This window comes from Homo sapiens, chromosome 15, assembly GCF_000001405.40.
Source record: "Homo sapiens chromosome 15, GRCh38.p14 Primary Assembly".
Taxonomy (NCBI): Eukaryota; Metazoa; Chordata; class Mammalia; order Primates; family Hominidae; genus Homo; species Homo sapiens.
Window position 1 is genome coordinate 72,669,766 of NC_000015.10, and position 22,920 is coordinate 72,692,685.

The 22,920-nt window shown below is 43.7% G+C and overlaps 2 protein-coding genes across 17 annotated transcripts in view, besides 2 other annotated features; one reads left to right on the forward strand and one right to left on the reverse strand.

Annotated features, from left to right (window-relative positions):
- Positions 993 to 1,970: an enhancer, noted in NCBI's record as "H3K27ac-H3K4me1 hESC enhancer chr15:72963099-72964076 (GRCh37/hg19 assembly coordinates)". NCBI's record gives its function as "activates a minimal SCP1, AML or CMV promoter by ChIP-STARR-seq in naive H9 embryonic stem cells {active_cell/tissue: H9 hESC(naive)}" and the evidence as "EXISTENCE:reporter gene assay evidence [ECO:0000049][PMID:30033119]".
- Positions 1,349 to 1,398: an enhancer, noted in NCBI's record as "active region_9727". NCBI's record gives its function as "activates an Ori minimal core promoter by ATAC-STARR-seq in GM12878 lymphoblastoid cells {active_cell/tissue: GM12878}" and the evidence as "EXISTENCE:reporter gene assay evidence [ECO:0000049][PMID:35858748]".
- Positions 6,033 to 16,417, reverse strand: HIGD2B (HIG1 hypoxia inducible domain family member 2B). Of its 7 annotated transcripts, none has more exons than XM_024449841.2 (4): positions 16,356 to 16,417; positions 13,440 to 13,539; positions 10,250 to 10,428; positions 6,033 to 6,622 (listed from the first exon to the last, which is right to left on the reverse strand). In XM_024449841.2, the coding sequence occupies exon 4, from the start codon at positions 6,607 to 6,609 to the stop codon at positions 6,289 to 6,291; it is 321 nt and encodes a 106-aa protein (XP_024305609.1). In that variant the 5' UTR covers positions 6,610 to 6,622; positions 10,250 to 10,428; positions 13,440 to 13,539; positions 16,356 to 16,417; the 3' UTR covers positions 6,033 to 6,288. The 7 variants fall into 7 exon arrangements, with proteins under 7 accessions (XP_024305609.1, XP_024305608.1, XP_024305607.1 ...); XM_024449840.2 differs by having other exon boundaries at positions 16,204 to 16,417; XM_024449839.2 differs by having other exon boundaries at positions 16,053 to 16,417.
- BBS4 (Bardet-Biedl syndrome 4) overlaps positions 16,442 to 22,920 on the forward strand; it is a 52,267-nt gene continuing 45,788 nt past the window's right edge. For 7 of the 10 annotated variants that reach the window (NR_045565.2, NM_033028.5, NM_001320665.2 and 4 more), the window contains exon 1: positions 16,442 to 16,486. Coding sequence is in view for 3 of the 10 variants with exons in the window: in NM_033028.5 (NP_149017.2) it covers positions 16,463 to 16,486 (24 nt within the window). In the remaining 7 variants the exon portion in view is untranslated. Of the gene's footprint in view, positions 16,800 to 22,920 lie in introns of all 10 variants that reach the window. The other 3 variants (NR_045566.2, XM_047432911.1, XM_017022450.2) reach the window with 1 other exon arrangement.

A 22,920-nucleotide genomic window follows, 5' to 3' on the forward strand; every position in this document is an offset into this window, starting at 1 on the left:
GAAGTTATGGGATTTAGAAAATGTTGTAGGATGAAAAAGTTATGGGATAAAAAATGTGGAAAAGTCGTGGCAAAAAAAGTTGTGAAAAAAGTATTTAAAGTTTTATGAAAAGTTTAAAAAAAGTATTATGAAAAAGAAGTTACGGGATTAAAAAATAAGTCATGGGATATAAATAAAAATAAATAAAAGCAGGCCTCTGTCAGCATAAGCCTGGAGAAGTGGGGCTGGAGTCTCTGCCGCCATCGTGTCCCTACCATCCCTTCCTACCCCTTTATCATTAGGGTAGCAAGACAAGACCCCTGTCTAATGGGGGGAGACAAACAGACCCTTTGCCACCTTGACCAGGGCTGAGTCCTTAAATTTCTGGATGATGATGATTGTTATTTAAGAGCCAGAGGCTGGTGGAGTCGGTTTGTTTGGAGGCGGCCTGATGGCCTCCCTACCCTCACCAAAGCAACTTTTCCCTCAGGGGGCTCCCATCTTCTTATTCAGAGAGGCAGCTGAGGCAGGGACAATGGGGCTAACTGTAGAGCAGGTGAGGGCACGGGCTGCTGGGAAGGCCCCAGTGTACATATAGTATCTGTGTAACATTTTGTATATTCCAGGGGGTAGGGCCACCCCCTGTATCGTACCTAGCAGAGGTTGGAGCTGGCATATGAGGAGGAGGTTCTAATCATTATTTGTGGCTGGGAAACTTATTTATTGATAGCATGGGGCAGAGGAAGGAGGCGGGGATGGGGTTGTGGCTCCCTGGTGATGCGACTCCTGTTTATTTTGCCTTTCATTTTGGAATAAATGGATTTAGCCATACTGCTCAGCCTGGTGTGTTCCTTTTTCCCTCACTGGGTCCTGGAGTTTGTGCCACTGAATGAGGAGCCCCAGAGTTGTCTGAGCATGTCCAGCTGGGCTGTTGGTGACCTTCCAGGCCTGTTACCTTTATGCTGCCTAGTGACACCTGGTGGATTTCATTGGGACTGCCATGGCGCCTATGGGGCACAGTCCAGCCCTGACAGCCAACAGGCTCAGAAGCCTGATCTAGCGGTGGCCGGGAAGACAGATACTAGCACCCAAGGGCACTGACTTCCATTCACCCCAGGAGTCTTCCATTCCGTCCCCCTCCCTCCTTCTCCTGTCTGCACTGGGTGGCCTGTTCTGTCTGTCCCTCCAGTGCACCTGGTGACCTGTTCTGTCTGTCCCTCCAGAGTGCCAGCTGCCCTGCAGGCTCCTCGAGGCTGAGTTCATGGCCCTGCCCCTAGTGGCCAGAGCCGGCTTCACAGGATAACAGCCAGCTAAGCTCCAGGGGCTTTCCAGGAAAAGTGTCCCTTGAAAAGGGTGTGGCTTTTTCACTGCTCCCAACAGCACCCTAGAAATGGCTTGGCCTTTTCCCTCCCCTGAGTTCCAAAAAGAACACAGCCAGCAGAGGACACATTCCCTGACATACGAGGGACTGGAAGACTGGTAGAGATGTCAGGTCACAGGCTGCCAGCACAGCACCCCCATGATTGGCCACGGGAGTGCTGGAGGAATGGTGGGGGTTGGCTGTCCACTGGCTGGGCATGACAGGGAGACTCACTGGAGGTGGTGCACTTTGGAGGGGCGATGTCAGGGATGTATTTGGGTCTCAGTAAAGAGATCTGTTCTTTTTAAATTTCTGCATCTAGTTGCCTATACGCGATGATGACACATAGCAACTTATTTTTTACTTTCTAAAGACAGGATATCATGCAAAGAGATCAAGCTGCCCTTCTATAAATATAACTCAATTGCCTTCCAGCCATAGGCTGCATGCTTCAAGTTGTTTTCAGAAATAAGAAATGGGTTGAGCTGAACCACTTATAGCCTTACATGGAGAGTTCCCACTGTGACCTGTAGCACATGTGAATTGACTTGCTTAATGTATGAAACCAATGGAAATGAGATGAAAAGTCCTATTCTCATGCAAGCCCGTTGGGTTATGCAGAGACACAGTAGCAGAGACACAGCCCTAACTACAGCCTGCCCTCCGGAAAACATGTGTCTGTTCATATGGAAATGACACAAGTCTAGTGCTTGTCTGAAAGTCATGCAGCAAAACAAAAAAAGTCTCTGCAAAACCGGGGAGAGTTTTTTACAATGACTTTAACTTTGAGGGTGCTCTTTAGCAGAGGCTTTTGATAAAGGAAGAATTCTATCAACCAGGATCACTGAGGAGGAATGAATTTATAACTACTCTTTTTAAGGCTAGAAGAGACCTTAATTAAATTCCTTCTATTTACAAAGGAGGGAACTGAAGTCCAGAAATGACAAAAGGTTTGGCAGCTTTAGAAATAAGGCAACATTGAGTTTCAGTATTCTAAACTTTTGGAAAGTGGTAAAAATGAAGGATATTGAACAAAAAATACTAGTTGTTTTTTTTCTATCTTGTTCAGTTAGTGTCAACATGCTGTAAGTTTTCATAATTTTTTTTTTTTTGAGATGGAGTTTGACTCTTGTTGCCCAGGCTGGAGTACAATGGTGCGATCTCAGCTCACTGCAACCTCCGCCTCCTGGGTTCAAGCGATTCTCATGCCTCAGCCTCCTGAGTAGCTAGGATTACAGGCATGCACCACCACGCCTGGCTAATTTTGTATTTTTTAAATAGATAGGGTTTCTTCATGTTGATCAGGCTGGTCTTGAACTCTCAACCTCAGGTGATCCACCTGCCTCAGCCTCCCAAAGTGCTGGGATTACAGGCGTGAGCCACTGTGCCCAGCCTATTTTTTTTTTTTTTTTTGAGACGGAGTCTTGCTCTGTTGCCCAGGCTGGAGTGCAGTGACGCAATCTTGGCTCACTGCAACCTCTGCCTCACAGGTTCAAGAAATTCTCCTGCCTCAGCCTCCCGAGTAGCTGGGACTACAGGCGTACACTGCCACGCCCGGCTAATTTTTTTTTGTATTTTAGTAGAGACGGGGTTTGACTGTGTGGCCCAGGCTGGTCTCAAACTCCTGAGTTTAGGCAATCCACCCACCTCAGCCTCGCAAAGTGCTAGGATTACAGGCATGAGCCACCGCACCCTGCCTGGTTAATTTTTATGATAATAAAAATATTCTCATAAAATTTGGGAAATTCCAAAACCTATGGAGAAGAAAATTTAAATTATTCATCATCCCACAATTTATTCATTTGCTTATTTGAGCAACAAATAAAAGTGCACACCTTATTAAGAGCAGGGCATGTTCCAAGACTGACTATCCAGAAATGATTGATAGCCTCTAACTGATTCCCTTCCAACCCATTTCTCAGTGCACTACTACTAATAATTTTAAAATCAGATTATTTAGTTTTGAAATCTCCTTTTCACCTAATATATCATAAGCCTTTTCCCAGGTTATCAAATAATATTCCAAGCTATGATTTTAACAGCTGCATAACGTCACATCATATAAATTTACACTGATTTATTAAACCATTGTACTTGGGACATAATAAGATGATCAATTTTTCAATATTATAAATAATGTTGCATGTAACATTCTTTGGCCACATGCCTGATTATCTTTGAAAACTTCCCTAGAATTCAGATTGTTAGATCAAAGCCTTAAATATTTTTAAGGTCTTAAATACACAATACTCAACTGCTTTCTTGAAAGACTGTAATAGTTTTACTTCTACCAGCTACAAGAGTGTCTTTCAGTCATGCAACAAAGCCCACACCTCAAAACAATGAGTATTAGCTTTAAAAAAGTCATTGTCAACTGAGTTCAAATGGTTTTTCCTTTAATTTGCAGTTCTTACTTGGCAATGGTTAAGTCAAACTTTCCAAAAAAAACTTTGTTCTCTTTTTTCATAAATTATATATGCATGCTTTTTGTCATTTTCTATGGAACTGTTAACATTTCTTCTTAGCATTCTAGTCTTAATATTTCTCAGTGAGGGATTTTTCTGACTGCATTCTGAGATCTAGGCTCCTGGCTGGGGCAGCAAGAGGTGGGATGGAGAAAGGGCGGGGAGTCAGAGTCAGGCTTGTTCTCTTAGTCCTTCCACAATCACCAAGGTGTGACCTGGGCCAACTCTTGGTATCTCTGGGCTTCAGTTTCCTCCTCTGTAAATAGAAGGGTCTTAATTAAGGTCCCTTCCAGTCGTATAAAAGGGAGTTAGAGATCCGTAGTTTCAAAGCTTCTTTCACTATCATGATTTGTGATCAGCTTTGAAGGAGGTAGTGCTAGTGGGTAAACATCAAACCATAAGCTTGTTTGCCAGTTCTAACCTACCACTACCACCTACCACTGAGAAAATCATTTCAAGGCTCTTAGTTTCCTGATCTGTAAATGGAAACCTCGTTTTACAGATTTGTTGTAAAAATTATGTGAAATAATAGAAATCAGGCCAGGTGCGGTGGCTCACACCTGTAATCCCAGCACTTTGGGAGGCTGAGGCGGGTGGATCACCTGAGGTTGGGAGTTTGAGACCAGCCTGACCAACATGGAGAAACCCTATGTGTACTAAAAATGCAAAATTAGCCGGGCATGGTGGCGCATGCCTGTAATTCCATCTACTTGGGAGGCTGAGGCAGGAGAATTGCTTGAACTCAGGAGGTGGAGGTTGCAGTGAGCCGAGATCATGCCATTGCACTCCATCCTGGGCAATAAAAGTAAACTCCATCTCAAAAATAATAATAATAATAGAAATCAAAGTGTATAGAGCATAATATACCACAGACAGGCAGGATGCAGTGGCTCCTGCCTGTAATCCCAGCACTTTGGGAGGCCGAGGCGGGTGGATCATCTGAGGTCAGCAGTTCGAGACCAGCCTGGCCAACATGGTGAAACCCCGTCTCTACTAAAAATACAAAAATTAGCTGGGCATGGTGGTGAGTGACTGTAATCCCAGCTACTTGGGAGGCTGAGGCAGGAGAATAGCTTGAACCTGGGAGGTGGAGGCTGCAGTGAGCTGAGATCGTGCCATTGCACTCCAGCCTGGGCGACAAGAACAAAACTCTGTCTGAAAAAGGAAGAAAGAAAGGAAGGAAGGAAGGAAGGAAGGAAGGAAGGAAAGAAGGAAGGAAGGAAGGAGAGAGAGAGAGAGAGAAAGAAAGAAACAAAGAAAGAAAGAAAGAAACAAAGAAAGAGGGAAGGAAGGAAGGAGACCATATTCATACTAGTAGCTGCTTATGACTAATAGAAGTAAGGATGAGGATTAGAAGGGATTTCAACTTTATAATACATTCTTTCCTTTATATAATAATAATGAAAAAGACAGCCAGTCACAGTAGCTCATGCCTGTAACCCTAGTGCTTTGGCTAAGGTGGGAGGATCATTTGAGCTCAGGAATTTGAGACCAGCCTGGGCCACCGAGCAAGACTCCATCTCTACAAAAACTTTAAAACAATTAGCCATGTATGGTAGCCTGTGCCTCTAGTCCCAGCTACTAGGGAGGCTAAGGCAAGAAAATCATGTCAGCCCAGGATGTCGAGGCTGCAGTGAGCTATGCTAGTGCCACTGCACCTGCACTCCAGCCTGGGTGACAGAGTGAGACCTTGTCTCCCTTTTAAAAAAAAATGAAGCAAATATAACAAAATATTAACAACAGTCAGTGTTGATTCTGTGGTAGGAACATAGTTGTTTGCAAGATCATGCTCTGTACTTTTCCGTATCTTAAAAAATTTCCTGGCCAGGTGCGGTGGCTCATGCCTGTAATCCCAGCACTTAGGGAGGCCAAGGCAGGCTAATCACGAGGTCAGGAGTTTGAGATCATCCTGGCCAACATGGTGAAACCCCGTCTCTACTAAAGATACAAAAAATTAGCCGGGCGTGATGGCGCGTATCTGTAATCCCAGCTACTCGGGAGACTGAGGCAGGAGAATTGCTTGAATCTGGGAGGCAGAGGTTGCAGTGAGCCGACATTGTGCCATTGCACTTCGGCCTGGGCAACAGGGCCGAAGTTGCACTCCAGCCTGGGCGACAAGTGCAGCCCATCTCAAAAAAGAAAAAAAAAATTCCCCCTTCCCATACAAATATGCCTAGCTCATAAAAGCAATCCTAAAAGATTACATACAGTATGTGTGTAATTTTTTACTTTTTTCTTATTTTTAGAGTTTATTAAGCAGGGGAGTGGAGGGAAGATGTGGCACAAATAGAAATATGTAACATTCAAACAACAGAATCTGGGATTTTTGAAAAAATCTTTCAGTTATGGTTACAGGAAGGGTCACTTCCTCCCCCAACGACACAGGGACCTCTCAAAGGAGAGGAGAGAGTAAGTCCCATGGTAGGGCCAGTGGTTGCTCCTGGGTTTTGGAATGATTTCTGCAGAGTTTTCAAGACCCTGGGCTCAGGGTGGAGACTTCATAGCGGTGGCAGCTAGACCCAGCAAGATGGCTGCAATGGTGAAGCCCTGGGCGGCGATCTGGGTGTGCATCATAAGCCGTGAACATTGGCTGTTGCCCTGGTGGAAGCAGTAGAGGCCGTTGGTGAGGACGGCCGCCGTGCACAGGAAACCTATGGGTACCACCGGATTCTCGCGGGTCTTGCGAAGGAACTTTTCCTTGAAACCCTCTGGATTGCTGTAAACAGTGGGGCTAAGCCCCTCAAAGATGGGGGGCTTCGATGATTCAAAGGGGGCCTCCGGAGTCACAAAGCCGAGAGTCGCCATGCCTAGGCCACAGCTGCAGGAGAAAATCCTTTGTTTTTTTTTTTTTTTGAGAAGGAGTCTTGCTCTGTAGCCCAGGCTGGAGTGCAGTGGTGCAACCTTGGCTCACTGAAACCTCTGCCTCCCTGGTCCCAGTTAAAGCAATTCTCCTGCTTCAGCCTTCCAAGTAGCTGGGATTACAGGAACATGCCACCATGCCAGGCTAATTTTCATATTTGTATTTTTAGTAGAGACGGGGTTTCACCATATTGGCCAGGCTGGTCTCGAACTCCTGACCTCATGATCTGCCTGCCTTAGCCTGCCAAAGTGCTGGGATTACAGGTGTGAGCCACCATGCCCAGCCTACATGTTTTATATAATGTTATTTGATATAACAACTTGGAAAGGACAAAATTATAGAAATGGAGAATAGATTAGTGGCTGCAGGGGTTAGGAATGGGGAGGTGGTGGGAAGGAGGTATATGTTTATTAAAGGGTAATGACAGGGAGGCTTATGGTGATGGAACTCTTCGTATGTTGACTATGGTGACAGATAGGAAAACCTACACGCGTGACAAAACTGCACAGAACTAAATACACACAAATGAAGTAAAAGTGGGGAAGTCTAAATCAGATTGGTGGACTGTATCAATGTTAACATTCTGGCTGTGATATTACACAATAGTTTTGGAAGATGTTACCATGGGATAACTGTAGAAAGGGTATATGTGATCTGTCTATTATTTCTTATGACTGCAGGTGAATCTACAATTATCTCATAAGAAAAAGTAAGAAGAGGCCAGGGGTGGTGGCTCACACCTATAATCCCAGCACTTTGGGAGGCCGAGGCAAGCAGATCACTTGAGGCCAGGAGTTTGAGACCAGCCTGGGCAACATGGTGAAAGCCCATCTCTACTAAAAATACAAAAATTAGCCGGGCATGGTGGCACACTACTCAGGAGCTACACAAGAGGCTGAGGCAGGAGAATCGCTTGAACCCCGGAGGCGGAGGTTGCAGTGAGCTGAGATCACACCACTGCCCTCCAGCCTGGGTGGGCAACAACAGCAAGACTGCAAGGGAATAATGTTCTGTTTGGGAAAGAGACTGCATGTAAATAGGGGGTCTGGTAGGTGGGCATGGTGGCTAACACCTATAATCCCAGCACCTTGGAAAGCTGAGGCAAGAGGATCACTTGAACCTAGGAGTTCAAGACCAGCCTGGGCAATATAGCGAGATTCTGTATCTATAAAAAATGAAAAAATTAGCCAGGCATGGTAATGCATGCCTGTGATCTCAACTACTCAAGAGGCTGAGGCAAGAGGATCAATTGAGCATCCAGAAGTTGAGGCTGCAGTGAGCCATGATCATGCCACTGCACTCCAGCCTGGGCAACAGGGCAAGACTGTATCTCTAAAAATTAAAAAAAAATAAAATAATAAATAGAACATATAAAAGTAAATAAAAATTAAAAATAGGGATCTGGAGCTGGTAGGGAAGAAACAGAGCTGTATGGGAGAAAAGAATACTTTTCCTTGTTGATATATGGTCTGTGTCCCCTTTTTCTCCTCTTATTTTCTTTTGCATTCTTGCTCTGATTGACTTCTTTCTCAAGTGCCTCTTCTCTCTGACTTTCCCTGTGTCATTATTTTCCTCAACTCATTATTTTCCCTCTTTGCTTTGCTAAAAGACTCTATCCCTGCATCTTATTCAGAGCACACTGACTGCACTGGACAGGAGTTACAAGAGGGAAGAGGTACTCATAGAATCCTGGATTTCTAAAACACTTAAGCTACAAAGGTTGGTGAATATCAGAGTCCAATAGTCACATATTACACAGAGGAAAACTGAAGTGCTGAGAAAGGAAATAACTTGTGTCACTCACAGAGGGAATTTTTGGTAAAGTTGGAATATAAGCCTGGGATCCACTAGAACAGCTTCCCTAATTTTCTTTTCTTTTTTTTTTAGACAGGTTCTCACTCTGTCACCCAGGCTGGAGTTTGGTGGCATGATCAAAACTCACTGTGGTCTTGACGTCCTGGGCTCAAGTGATCCTCCTGCCTTAGCCTCCCAAGTAGCTAGGAATGCAGGAGTGTGCCACCATGCCTGGCTAATTTTTTTGTATTTTAAGTTTGTAGAGATGGGGTCTGGATATATTGCCCATGCTGGTCTCAAACTCCTGGACACAAGTGATCCTCCTACCTTGTGCTCCCAAAGTGCTGGAATTAGAGGCGTGAGCCACTACGCCTAGCCCTAGTTTCTATAATTTTCAACAGACGGAGCTCACTAGTTGGAGAAAAAGAGATTCCTGGGGGCAGCCAATTAAAACATAGAGAAATTAGAGCAACATGGTGAGAGAAATAATCTGATCAGGTGCAGTGGTTCGCGCCTGTAATCCCAACACTTTGGGAGGTCAAGGCAGGAGGATCACTTAAGCCTTGGAGTTTGAGACCAGCCTGGGCAATATGGCAAAACCCCATCTCTACAAAAAATAAAAAATTAGCTGAGCATGGTGGCGCATGCCTGTAGTCCCAGCTACTCAGGAGTCTGAGGTAGGAGGATCGTTTGAGCCTAGGAATTCGAGGCTACAATGAGCCATGATTGTGCCACTGCATTTCAGCCTGGGTGACAGAGCAAGAGACTTTGTCTCAAAAATAGAAAAGAAAAGAAAGAAAAAGAAAAGGAAGGAAGGAAGGAGGGAAAAGAAAAAAGAAAAAAAAAAGAAGGAAAGAAAGAGGGCAGCCAGGCGTAGTGGCTCACGCCTGTAATCCTAGGACTTTCGAGGTGGGCAGATCACCTAAAATCAGGAGTTTGAGAGCAGCCTCGTTAACATGGTGAAACCTCATCTTTACTAAAAATACAAAAAATTAGCCGGGCATGGTGGCACACTCCTGTAGCCCCAGCTACTAGGGAGGCTGAGGCAGGAGAATCGCTTGAACCAAGGAGGCAGAGGTTGCAGTGAGCTGAGATTCTGCCATTGCACTCCAGCCTGGGCAACAAGCACAAAACTGTGTCTCAAAAAAAAAAAAAAGAGAGAGAGAGAAAGAAAGAAGAAAAAGATGCAGAGAGGGGAAGAGGAAAGAAGGAAGGGAAGGAAGGAAGGAAGGATATAGTTATTAAGTAGTTATGAGCCAGAATTATAAACTAGCCAGATGGTTTTGTGATAGGATTTGGGTAGAATGAAAATCTCAAGAGGTTAAATTCCTAAGAGGCAACTCTTCTCTCTTACTAACTATGGATTATTTTAAATGCACCAGATACCCCTCCTCAAGATGTAATATTATACCATAAATGTTATGGGGAGAAACTGCCCAAATGAACAGACCAGCGCTCACACTGAGAACAGGAATAGGGAGTAGCCTATTTTGAGCCTACCTTTTTAAAAAACACTTGCATTTTGGGAAAATATAAAAAAAAATGTCCAACAGGGTTGTCCTGTTGGTACCAAAAACCTTCAGAAATTTCAGAGTATAGGATGTTGGTAAGAAGCACCAAAGCAGAAAGTACCTCTTTCTGCATGCGAGAAACCATCATTTATCTGAGAGTGATGTTCCCTAACACAAGAAAGGGTCTCTGTTAAGCAAGTGAGGGGTGGAAGGAGCTGTTGCCAGAGCCCGCCAGAAGCATCCTGGTAACCAACTGCTGGTCCAAACATTTCCTACTTACATGGAACAGTGGAAAGTGCCAACAGAGTTCTCCCGACGAATGTCTTCATATTCCTCATAGATTCCCTGCTTTTGCCTGGGCAAAATAGTCCATCAACCAAAGTTTAGGTTTTCTGATCTTCTTCCCATTCTTACCCAGCTGGTGGAGTCTACAGCCTATTTCAGGTTTGACCTCAGTAGCTAGAGGAAAAGTGGTTAAACAAAATAAAGAAGTTAGAAGCTGATTTACCTTTAAAAATAACAAACTTAAGTTCTTGTCTACAGTAAGTTTTATGGATCAAAAACTATTCTGACTTCTTATCTCAACAGATATCCTACACATATCTCACATCAGCATATATATATGCCTTTTAGAAAATTCTGTTATTAAAACTCGAAGGAAAAATGAGATCATGAATAAACTGAACATTTTTAAAAAATTATCTTTCATAACTTTTCAATCTAATATCTGTGTATTATAATCATTTATTGTTTCATGTACTAATTCATCTATGTATTTACCAATCAATAAATATAATCTGATATGCACTATGATAAATGAGGTCAAAAAAAAAGGAGATACCCTGATCCACACAGGATATAAAGATGAAGGGCTGGGTGCGTTGGCTCACGCCTGTAATTCCAGCACTTTGGGAGGCTGAGGTGGGCAGACCACCTGAGCTCAGGAGTTCAAGACCAGCCAGGCAAACATGGCAAAAACCTGTCTCTACTAAAAATACAAAAAATTAGCTGGCCGTGGTGGCAGATGCCTGTAATTCCAGCTACTCAGGAGGCTGAGCCTGAGGCACGAGAATTGCCTGAACTCAGGTGGTGGAGGTTGCAGTGAGATCGTGCACTCCAGCCTGGGTGACAGAGTGAAATTCTGTCTCAAAAAAAAACAAAAGTGCTGTATTGAGGACTGAGACCTGAGATAGTGAGAGACAGGGATGTACAACTTGAGTCATACTGTGGACTGACAGGATGGGAATAGCTAAGGGACTGTCTGAGGTGGGGATGCCTGTCTGGTTCACTTGTTACTGCCTTGTTTATGTGACTTAGATAGTACTTAGCTTCCGCTGTTGATACTCAGTGGGAGATACACCTAAACCACACAGACAGCATTATTCTGAAAAGGAGAAGTTGCCAGGGAGTGTGGACCAGTAGTCTCCGTGGCCCTGTACTCTCCAAGCAGAAGTGTAGACTTCTTCTTCCCTGTGACTAGCCTTCAGGTGTAATTTCCAGTACATAGTTCCTTATAAATTCTATAGCTCAGGAGAATAAATAAGAGGCTCCTTTTCCAGAAAATCCAGTATTGGTTTTCCTCCTTTGGAGGCGTAGAGTCAGAACTCTCATGGCATGGCAGGATCCATGGAGGTGGCCACATCTCCCTTTTTTCAGTGAGTATTAGATCCCACAAGACAACCGCACAGCTAAACATAATTAAAACTTAGGTTTTATGATATTTGTTCCTTTCCTAAAACCTTCAGTGACTCCTTATTATCCATAGGGAACATATAAGCTAAATAAATGTGAACTTTTTTCTCCAAGCAAAACATTCTCCCCAGTGAATAGAAAATCTTGTTTTCCTGTGTTACCTTGAACCAAAATTTTTTTTTTTTTTTTTTTTTTGAGGCAAAGTCTTGCTCTGTCGCCCAGGCTGGAGTGCAGTGGTGGCGCGATCTCATCTCACTGCAACCTCCACCTCCCGGGTTCAAGTGATTCTCCTGCCTCAGCCTCCCGAGTAGCTGGGATTACAGGCGCCTGCCACCACACCTTGCTAATTTTTGTATTTTTAGTAGACATGAGGTTTTGCCAGGTTGGCCAGGCTGGTCTCAAACTCCGGACCTGAAGGGATCCATCTGCCTACCTTGGCCTCTCAAAGTGCTGGGATTACAGGCATGAGCCACCGCACTTGGACTCCTTTAAAATTATTATTATTATTGAGACAGAGTTTCGTGCTGTTGCCCAGGCAGGAGTGTGGCACTACCTTGATTATAGACGCAAGTCACTGGGCCTTGGGATTATAGACGCGAGTCACTGGGCCCAGCTTTCTTTCCAGTTTTAAAGTATTATTTTTAATTATCCAAACTAAATGTGTAGTAAATACTCTTCTTATAAATCTTTGTTTTCTTGATTGCTTCCTTAGCATATAATTTCAGAAATAGAACTGATCAAAGGGTATGCACATTTTTAAGGATTTATAATGCCAGATGCCTTCCAAAAGATGTTAACAACTTATTGAACTGACAGTATATAAGGGTGCTATAGAGTAATTTATTTATTTGAAAAACAAATCTTTATTGTGTAGAAATATGTATTTTAAAAATCCCCCAGAAAAGATGCTCTTCTCTCATTTCCCCATCCTCTTCCTTTTCTTCCACACCTCTGATATGAAGGACATTATTATACCTTATTAAAACTTCATCCACACTAGGCATGGTGGCTCATGCCTGTAATCCTGGCATTTTGGGAGGCCAAGGCAGGCAGATCACTTGAGGTCAGGAGTTTGAGACCAGCCTGGCCAACATGGTGAAATCCTGTCTCTACTAAAAATACAACAATTAGCCAGGTGTGGTGGCTGACGCTTGTAATCCCAGCTACTTGGGAGGCCAAGGCACGAGAATCACTTGAACCTGGAGGTTGCAGTGAGCTGAGATCGCACCACTGCACTCCAGCCTGGGTGATAGAGCGAGACTCTGTCTAAAAATAAGATAAAATAAAATAAAATGAAAACTTCATCCAGATGTCTAGACAACACTTTAACTATGTATTCTTCTGTATTTGCAAGTTACATGTTCATATAGCCATCTACAGATACCAGTTAGCCTTTGTAATCCATTCCCCACTTAAGTTTCACCATCTACTGGCTTTTCTGTTAATCCCTTGAGGAAAGGTTTGGAATTGAGGAGTAAATCCTTTATAAGGAGAATGCTGCAGTCTATTCGCTATTCACCGCTGACCAAGCTGCCACCTGGCCCTCCTGACTGCAGCAGGCACCCCCAGACAGTCATGTAAATGGACTAGGCCTGAGTCTGTAGTTCTTTGCTCTGAAAAAGGAGACGTAATGGCTTCTACTTTTTATCATTTGGTGGAAATAATAGAGGAGTTTTTCTAGAATGTTTTTTGATCTGGTGGTTAAAGGGAACTTGGACATTTAGTCCCTGAAATAAATTGTTGCATCTTTGAAGGAAAAGATGAAAGTAGTTTCTTACACTTTAGTGAAGAAGCCTTTGGAAAATTTTGTTCTGGATGTTGTATATTCTCTGTAGAGGAGTGTTGGGGATTCCCCACATCAGCAGAACTAAAGGGTAACTGAAGAGAACAGGGAGTGACATGTCAGATTGAGAATCAGTCTTTTGAAAGTGGCAAAAAGAATATGTGTTAAAAGAAAAAATAGGGTAGAAGATAAAAAGAATAGGGCAGAAGATATTAGCTTCAATTCCTCCTTTTTTTTTTTTTTTTTTGATCCTTTGGAATGATTTCTTCCTAGACTGCCAGTGTTGCGTAGTAACCCCGCCCATGAAGAGGACTGGAATACTGAAAAACTGCATGAAACTAAGCGCTGTGGGTTGGGCGGGGTGGCTCACGCCTGTAATTCCACACTTTGGGAGGCCAAGTTGGCTGGATTGCTTGAGCTCAGGAGCTTGAGACCAGCCTAGGTAACATGATGAAACCCCATCTTTACAAAAGATACAAAAATTAGCTGGGTGTGGTGGCATGAAGCTGTAGTCCCAGCTACTCAGGAGGCTGAGGTGGGAGGATCACTTGAGCCTGGGAGGTAGAGGCTGCAGTGAGCCGTGATTGTCCCACTGCACTTCCGCCTGGGCAACAGAGCGAGATCCTGTCCCAAAAACAAAAAAACTAAGCACTGTGGATTAGAAATTAATAATTTTTCATCTTTATATCTTTTTTTTTTTTTTTGAGACAGTCTTGCTCTGTCTCCCAGGCTGGAGTGCAGTGGCACGATCTCGGCTCACTTAGGCAAGGTGTTTAATTAATCTCTGAAAAGTGGAGAATTTAGCACCAGGCATGGTGACTGGTGCCTGTAATCCTAGCTACTTGAGAGGATGAGGTGGAAGTGTTAAAGGTGGAGGGTGTCCAGGTTCTTGGTGTCTTGAAAAAAGAATTGGACAAAATGCACAAACAAAGCAAGGAAGGGACAAGGAATTTACTGAACATGAAAGTACACTCCAGTGTGGGAGCGGGCCTGAGCTTAGAAGTTCAGTGGCTCCGTTACAGAATTTTGGGGAGTTTAAATAACCCCAGAGGATTCCATGGTTACTTCGGGTATGCCTTATGTAAATAGAGAAGATGAAGTAAAGTTACAAAGACATTTATGGCCTATGCCCTATGGACAGAATATTACCTGTTATAGCTGAAGTGTGAATTGGCCTTATGTTCCCTACCTCCAGACCCTATTTTCCTGCCTCAGGAGGATTACTTGAGCCTAGGAGTTCAAGTCCAGTCTGGACATCAATAGTGAGACCCCTGCCTCTGAAAAAAAATTTTTTTGAGACAGAGTTTTGCTCTTGTTGCCCAGGCTGGAGTGCAATGGGATGATCTCAGCTCACTGTAACTTCCACCTCCTGGATTCAAGCAATTCTCCTGCCTCAGCTTCCCTAGTAGCTGGGATTACAGGAGCCGGCCACCACGCCCGGATAATTTTTTGTATTTTTAGTAGAGACAGGGTTACACCATGTTGGCCAGGCTGGTCTTGAACTCCTGACCTCAGGTGATCTGCCCACCTCAGCCTCACAAAGTCCTGGGATTACAGGCGTGAGCCACCGAGCCCAGCAAATTTTTGTTTTTTAGACGGAGTCTCCCTCTATCGCCCAGGCTGGAGCACAGAAATGCGATCTCGGCTCACTGCAACCTCTGCCGCTTGGGTTCAAGTGATTCTCCTGACTCAGCCTCCCGAGTAGCTGCGATTACAGGCGGGCACCACCATGCCCGACTAATTTTTTGTATTTTTAGTAGAGACGGGGTTTCACCATGCTGGCCAAGCTGGAAAATTTTATTTTTAATAAATGAAAGGCAGAGTATTTATCTGAAAAAAGTGGGAGACCAACAGTCTCATGGGATTGTTATAAAGATTAAAAGAGAGAGTGTTACTGAAATACTTAGAAGAGCTGTTATTCTATTGCTGTCCTTTCCCCTTGTATTTGGATAGATTACCGTACTTGTTTCTTCTATGTAACTCTAATTGTCAGTGGGGTTCTCCCTCTCTTAGAGGCCTGGAGAAACTTGTCTTAAATGCTTTCCCAGTTAATGAATTGGGAGAGGCAGATTTTATGTCTAAATTACAAGGGCGAGACTTAAAAGTATGAATTGGGGCTAATGTCAGTGCTCAGGTGCAGGGATCCTCCGTTTTGTTCATCACACAGCTCCCGGCACTTTAATAAATGAGGCTCAAAGAAACGACGGGCTTAGGTCATGCAGTAGTCAAATTCAGAACTCATGTTTGATTCCAAAGCCCACACGTTTTCCTAGTTTAGAAACACTAAACATTTAATTCACCGCACCGGGGGCCAGACAGGTAATGGAGAACGCCTTAAGTATGTTAGGAAGGGAAGTTATCTACAGTCGCAGCCGCTATTCAGATCTATTTCACTGCCTTGCAGAAAACGCCGACTGTCGTCTCTTTATCCCATGGCCGATTTCTTGTGAAATCTCCTAACTTTTAAATATTTCCAATCAAAAGACTGCCGTTCAAATGCAGCCCACCAGGAGCATGTTTGCAAACTCTGGAGTAAACAAGAGTGGGAAGCTGATAAGGTGAGTACCTCAGTTCGATAGTGACAGCCAAGAAACGGGGAGTTTTGTACCTAAGGCGAGAAAGAAATTCTCCGCCGAAATCTCCCGGAAGAAGGACTGAATTAAATGCAGATTAGAGTCAGGGCAGGGTAAGGTGGCGGGAGAACTAGGCTGCCATCCCAGGTGGCTGGCCTACCAGCCAGCGCGGCCGGAGGTACAGACCATGTACAGACCACGGCGAGGGGTGTTAGGGGCTTCTCGGGATAAAGGCAGCGAGTGGCTGCGCATTCCCTCCCCGACTCTTTCAGAGGTAAGCCTTCTGTGGAGCAGACCCTAATCCTCCCCCTGATTCCTTAGGTCACTCGGCGATTTACTTCCTTCCCCCGCTTCCTCACAGTCCTCCACAGCCCTACGACTTCCGCTTGCCTCGTCGTCTGGGAAACCGCCGACTTCCGGCCGCGCAGCGGTGGGCTGAGCTAAAATGGCTGAGGAGAGAGTCGCGACGGTGAGCGCCGAGATTCTCTTTAGTTGCCCGGCCGCAGGGCAAGGCAAGCTGGCGGGTGGCTTTTGTCCCATGCAGCGGTTCCTGGAGAGAGGCGGAGCTGGGTGCCGAGCGTCTCAGGGTGGGCGGGGCGACACGGTCCCCTTTTTACTGTCCCGGGAACTGGTCGCCTGGGGCAAGTCTGGATACTTAGCAGCACAGGTCCTGTTCTAGGACTGTAGTCCCTCTTGGGGTGCGCTGGACGGAGAAGGGAGACTTTTCACCAGTAATGGCTCTTACCGTAGTGCCATCTTTTTCTGTCTCGGGGGTTTGGAAGGTAATGACTAGCACTTGTGTAGACAGTTCCTGTTAATCCCGTGAATTGGGAATTTAACATGCCTGGAAGCTTGCAGCGTCACTGCCTTCTGCCAGTGGAGCGGGACTGTGTTTTTTCTGTGGTGATTAAGTTTAGGAAAGTACGGTTTTGGAATTCATCTGAAGGCTGAGTTGGGCGTTCACTCCACAGAACTGCTAATATAGAGGAACCCGATGAATTCAGGATGACCTAGTCGCTATTTTTTGAGGCATATATCTATAATTGGATCTAATTTCGGTAAAGTGCCAAGTGTGAAGCTTTGTTTACCTTGCTTTAGTGTTGGGTTTGAAAGCCTGTTCTGTCCATTTGTTAGAATGATTTTAGGTATTCGGAATTTATTGTCTTTCGAAAAACGCCCTGGAAAACAGTACAAATAGCAGCCTTTGGCTGTTTTACAACTTAGTTTTGGCTAAGCAGCAAGGTTAGTGTTATTGTTAGAGGGCCTTTTGTTTGTTTTCTACTCTCATTTGCAGAGTAGTCATATTATTCTAGTCTAATTAGAAAACTCTGAAGACAGAAACTTTTTTTTTTGAGACGGAGTGTCGCTGTTGTCGGCCCGGGCTGGAGTGCAATGGCGCGATCTCGGCTCACTGCAACCTCCGCCTCCCAGGTTCCAGCAATTCTCCTGCCTCAGCCTCCGGATTAGCTGAGAATACAGGCGCCTGCCACCACGCCCGGCCGAAACATTTTTATTAAGCTAAGAAATTTAAAATAGCTAGGCCGGACGCGGTGCATCACGCCTGTAATCCCAGCACTTTGGGAGGCCGAGACGGGTGGATCACTTGAGGTCATGAGTTTGAGACCATCCTGGCCAACATGGTGAAACCCCGTCTCTACTAAAAATACAAAAATTAGCGGGGCATCGTGGCGCTCGCCTGTAATCCCAGGTACCTGGAAGGCTGAGGCAGGAGAATCGCTTGAACCCCGGAGGCGGAGGTTGCAGTGAGCCGAGATCATGCCATTGCACTCCAGCATGAGCGACAGAGACAGACTCCTTCTCAAAAAAAAAGAAAGAAAAAACAGATTTTAAAATAATTAAATAGGCCAGGCTCAGTGGCTCACGCCTGTAATCCTAGCACCTTGGGAGGCTGAGGTGGGTGGATCGCCTGAGGTCAGGAGTTCGAGACCAGCCTGGCCAACGTAGTGAAACCCTGTCCCTACTAAAAAAATACAAAAAATTAGCTGGACGTGGTGGCGGGCGCTGGTAATCCCAGCTACTAGGGAGGCTGAGGCAGGAGAATCGCTTAGAACCCAGGAGGCAGAGGTTGCAGTGAGCCGAGATCGTGCCATTTCACTGCAGCCTGGGCATCCAGAGCAAAACTCCGTCTCAGAAAAAAAAAAAAAGTAAATAGCATGGTTAATGTTACTGGGTTTTAAATATTAAAAACATAGGAAAGAAAATACTTCCACTCCAGCCTGGGTGACAGAGCAAGACTCCGTCTCAAAAAAAAAAAAAAAAAAAAAAAGAAAATACTTCTAAGTAATCTTAAAGTGTAAAAGATAATGGGTAACATAACATTGCTACAAATATAGCTTATCCTCTAGTGCTCATCACAAGTGTTTGTGTAATAGAATATGAACTTGAGTCTGTGACGGCAGAATTGTCATGTACATTTGAATGTCTAATACTGTTTTAAAGAGAATAGCTTTTGTTTCGATATGACTTAGCAATTAAGCCTGAAGTTAACTGTTTTCATTGTTGTCAAATTTATTGCTAGTAGTGTTACGTTTATAGTAATTTTCATCTTTTCAAGTTACCAATGCATGGAAATGTGAATTTCTGTCCTTTTAGGAAGTGGTATTTTATCTTTTTTTTTTTTTTTTTTTTGAGACGGAGTCTCACTTTGTCGCCCTGTCTGGAGTGCAGTGGCGTGATCTCAGCTCAGTGGAACCTCTGCCTCCCGGGTTCAAGTGATTTTTCTGCCTCAGCCTCCCGAGTAGCTGGGGTTACAGGCCCTCACCACCATGCCTGGCTTATTTTTGTGGAGATGGGGTTTCACCACGTTGGCCAGGCTGGTCTTGAACTCCTGACCTTGTGATCTGCACGCCTCGGTCTCCCAAAGTGTTGGGATTACAGGCGTGAGCCATGGCCCCCTGCCTTATTTTTTAATACAATTAAAAGAACCCAGTAATCCTACTCCTAGACCTGTGTCCCACAGAAAAAAGTGTTAAACATGAGCGTGTAGTACTAGGGCATTCGTTGTAGTACTATCCGTAGTGGCAAAACGCTGGAAGCAAATTAAATGCCCATTAATAGGGTAATTGATGACTTCAGATATTTCCATACTGTGGAATATTATGCAGTCATTAAAAAGAATGTTACAACTAATTGCTTTTCCTCTCAGAAGCCCCTCTCTCTCACTAGAGAAAGCTGTTCTCCTTTCTTTCTTCTGCCTATTAAACCTCCATTCCTAAACTCAGAAAGAAAAAAAAAAAAAGAGAATGTTACGACTAATTGACTTGGAGGGACTTCCATGGTGTACATTTAAATAAAAGGTAGATGTGAAGTGGGGTATATTATGTGATCTTAATTTCATAACACAAAGGAAAACATATAGATCCGTAGATAAGGATATATGGATATGGAGGAGAGAAAAGGAAAAGACTCAAAACTCACAGAATTTTTGAAGAAATGTATAGCTAAAAATCTAAGAAGGCTACAGTCAAGGCCTTGAGGCCAGAAGACACCCCATCAAAACTGAGTAAAACTAGCCCAGTGTGGGACGCAGAAATTCTAGTATGCTACCAAAATTACTTACGGATTGCTACCAGTTCCTTAGAAGGAAAACTGAGGACTAATATTTGTATTTTCAGTATAGTTTAGAATTCTTAAAAAATGAGCAAACAGGCTGTACTTGGTGGCTCATGCCTGTAATGCCAGGACTTGTGGAAACTGAGGTGAGAGGATAACTTGAGTCCAGAGGTTTGAGACCAGTCTGGGCAACATGTTGGAGCCCCATTTCTACAAAAAACACAAAAATTAGCCAGACGTGGTGGCACGCGCCTGTCTTCCCAGCTACTGGGGAGGATCATCTGAGCCTGGGGGAAGTTGAGGCTCCAGTGAGCCATGATCATGCCACTGGACTCCAGCAGGGGCAGAGTGAGACTTTGTCTGAAAAAAACAAAAAATGAATGAGCAACTAACTCTGGCTTTCATGATTTGTGCTTATAAATCTTTTTATTTATTTATTTATTTATTTATTTATTTATTTATTTATTTATTTTGAGACGGAGTCTTGCTCTGTCGCCCAGGCTGGAGCGCAGTGGCGCGATCTCGGCTCACTGCAACCTCCGCCTCCCGGGTTCACGCCATTCTCCAGCCTGAGCCTCCGGAGTAGCTGGGACTACAGGCGCCTGCCACCACGCCCAGCTAATTTTTTGTATTTTTAGTAGAGACGGGGTTTCACCGTGTTAGCCAGGATGGTTTCAATCTCCTGACCTTGTGATCCGCCCGACTCAGCCTCCCAAAGTGCTGGGATTACAGGCGAGCCACTGTACCCAGCCTATAAATTTTTTTTATAATGCCCTGATTCCCATTATTTGATGTATTTGGATAAATATGTCATCCTGTAAATTGAAGGATTAAACTGATAAGAGCAGAAAACAGAAATTAGTACACTAGTTGATCTGGCTCAGATATAGTGCCTATGTATCAGGTGCTCCATGAATATTTGTTGGATGAATAAATGATCATAAAACTATATAAAAATGAAGAAATAACAGAATAAAATAATTTGTTCTATATAAATCCTATGAATGAGATTGAGTGGGCTAATAGAATCCTTTCCATCTCAAAATGTTCTGGAAAGTCTTGAGTAAAAGACTCATCAAAAAAATAATTCTGCTTTGTGCAGAAAGAAGGGTTGCTGACCTTTGAAGGTGCTTTTTGAGTCTTTAACATTCTTTAGTAGTATATTCCCCAAAGTTAAGAAATTCTAGTTAGATTTTAAAAAATTGAGTTAACATTTAAAAAACAGTTTTGTTGAGGTATAATACACGTACCATAAAATTTACTCAATTTAAGTACAAAGTTTGATCAGTTTTAGTAAATTTATATAGTTGCACAGCTGTCATCAGAGGCTGCTTTTAAAACATGTCCATCACTCCAGAAGGGTTCCTGTGTCAATGGAATTGCTGGGTTATATTGTTTAAGTATTTGTTTAAAAAAACAGAAACAAATCTGCCTAACTTCTGCAGGCTATATACGAGTTAACATTTCCATGAGCAATGCATGAGGGTTGTGATTTTTCCACATCCCTGTCAACACTTGGTTTGTCAGTTTGTTTTTATTTAGCTGTTGTAGTGGATGGGTAGTGATGGTGTATGGTGGTTTTAATTTGTATTTCCTTCATGAATAATGATATTGAAGATTTTTTATATGTTTATTTTCCACCCGTATCTCTTTGGTGAAATGTCTTTATAAATTTTTGTGAATTTTTAAATCAAGATCATTAACCAAATGAGCCCCTCATTTGGGCTCAAGTGATCCTTCCACCTCAACCTCCCGAGTAGCTGGGACCACAGGTGCAGGCCACGCTTGGCTAATTTTTGTATATTTTGTAGAGGCGGGGTTTTGCCATGTTGCCCAGGCTGGTCTTAAACTCCTGAACTCAAGCAATTGGCCTGCCTCACATAAGTATTCTCTTTTATTTTGAGGATTAATTTTTGTTGTTGTGAAATATATCCTACCTGTAAAAGAGTGCTTAAAATGTCGTATGTGTGCTTTAAAGGATAATATAATGGAAACTTGTGTTCCTACTGCCCAGGTTAGGAAATGGGTTATTAATAACTTTGAAACCTCCTAAATGCCTCTCTCCTACTGCATTTTCCTTCCTCCACATCAGATGTAGTGTTTCTTCAATTTTATATTAATATTTTGTACTTTTTATAGTTTTACCATATATGTTTATATATATCCTTAATATATTAGTTTTTAAAATTTGTTATTAACCTTCAGTTTATTCATTATTTCAACACTGTATAGTATCTTATTGTAGTAAAGTATGTCAATTAACTTATCCATTCCACTAGATGGAGATCGGGATTATTTCTGGTTTTTAGTTATTAAAAACAATGCTGCTGCTGGGTGCAGTGGCTTACGCCTGTAATCCTAGCACTTTGGGAGGCCGAGGCTGCGGATCATGAGGTCAAGAGATCGAGATCATCCTGGCCAACATGGTGCAACTCCGTCTCTACTAAAAATACAAAAATTAGCAGGATGCGGTGCTGCGCGCCTGTAGTCCCTGCTACTCGGGAGGCTGAGGCGGGAGAATCACTTGAACCCAGGAGGCGGAGGTTGCAGTGAGCCGAGATTGTGCCACTGCACTTCAGCTTGGCAGAGCGAGACTTCGTCTCAAAAAAAAAAAAAAAAAAAGCTGCTATAAATATGGCCAAGACTAAGGAAAGGTAAGTGAGGTGCTTAGGGTTCACATTTTATGGAGTAAGAGTAAGTACCTTCTTAAGGTTTATACCCTAGGTTCTTCACATGCCTCACTTTAGTCCTAGCCCTGAGCATTATTATGTAGGTCTTCTGATGCAATATCTAAGAGTTTCTCTAAGGTATACCTAGAAATAGATTGCTAGGTAATGGAGTAACTTTATTACTTACAGGAAACTATATGGTGGTTGTAACAATTTATGCTTCTGCCACCAGTCATGGTGGATATGAAATTATGTCTTAATGTGATAATTTACATTGCAATTTTTTTTTTTTTTTTTTTTTTTTTTTTTGAGACAGAGTCTTGCTCTGTCACCCAGGCTGGAGTGCAGTGGCGTGATCTTGGCTCACTGCAACCTCTGCCTCCTGGGCTCAAGTGATCCTTCCACCTCAGCCTCCCGAGTAGCTGAGACCACAGGCGCAGGCCACACTTGGCTAATTTTTGTATATTCTGTAGAGGCGGGGTTTCGTCATGTTACCCAGGCTGGTCTTAAACTCCTGAACTCAAGCAATCGGCCTGCCTCAGCCTACCGAAGTGCTGGGATTAGAGGTGTGAGCCACCACACCTGGCTGTTTGTTTGTTTTGAGCCTGTTCCTCAGGCTGGAGTGCAGTGGTCCAATCATGGCTTGCTGCAACTCCGCTTC

Bases quoted from the DNA above. Each gene is read 5' to 3' on its own strand.
- HIGD2B (XM_024449842.2), bottom strand. From the start codon at position 6,609: ATGGCGACTCTCGGCTTTGTGACTCCGGAGGCCCCCTTTGAATCATCG.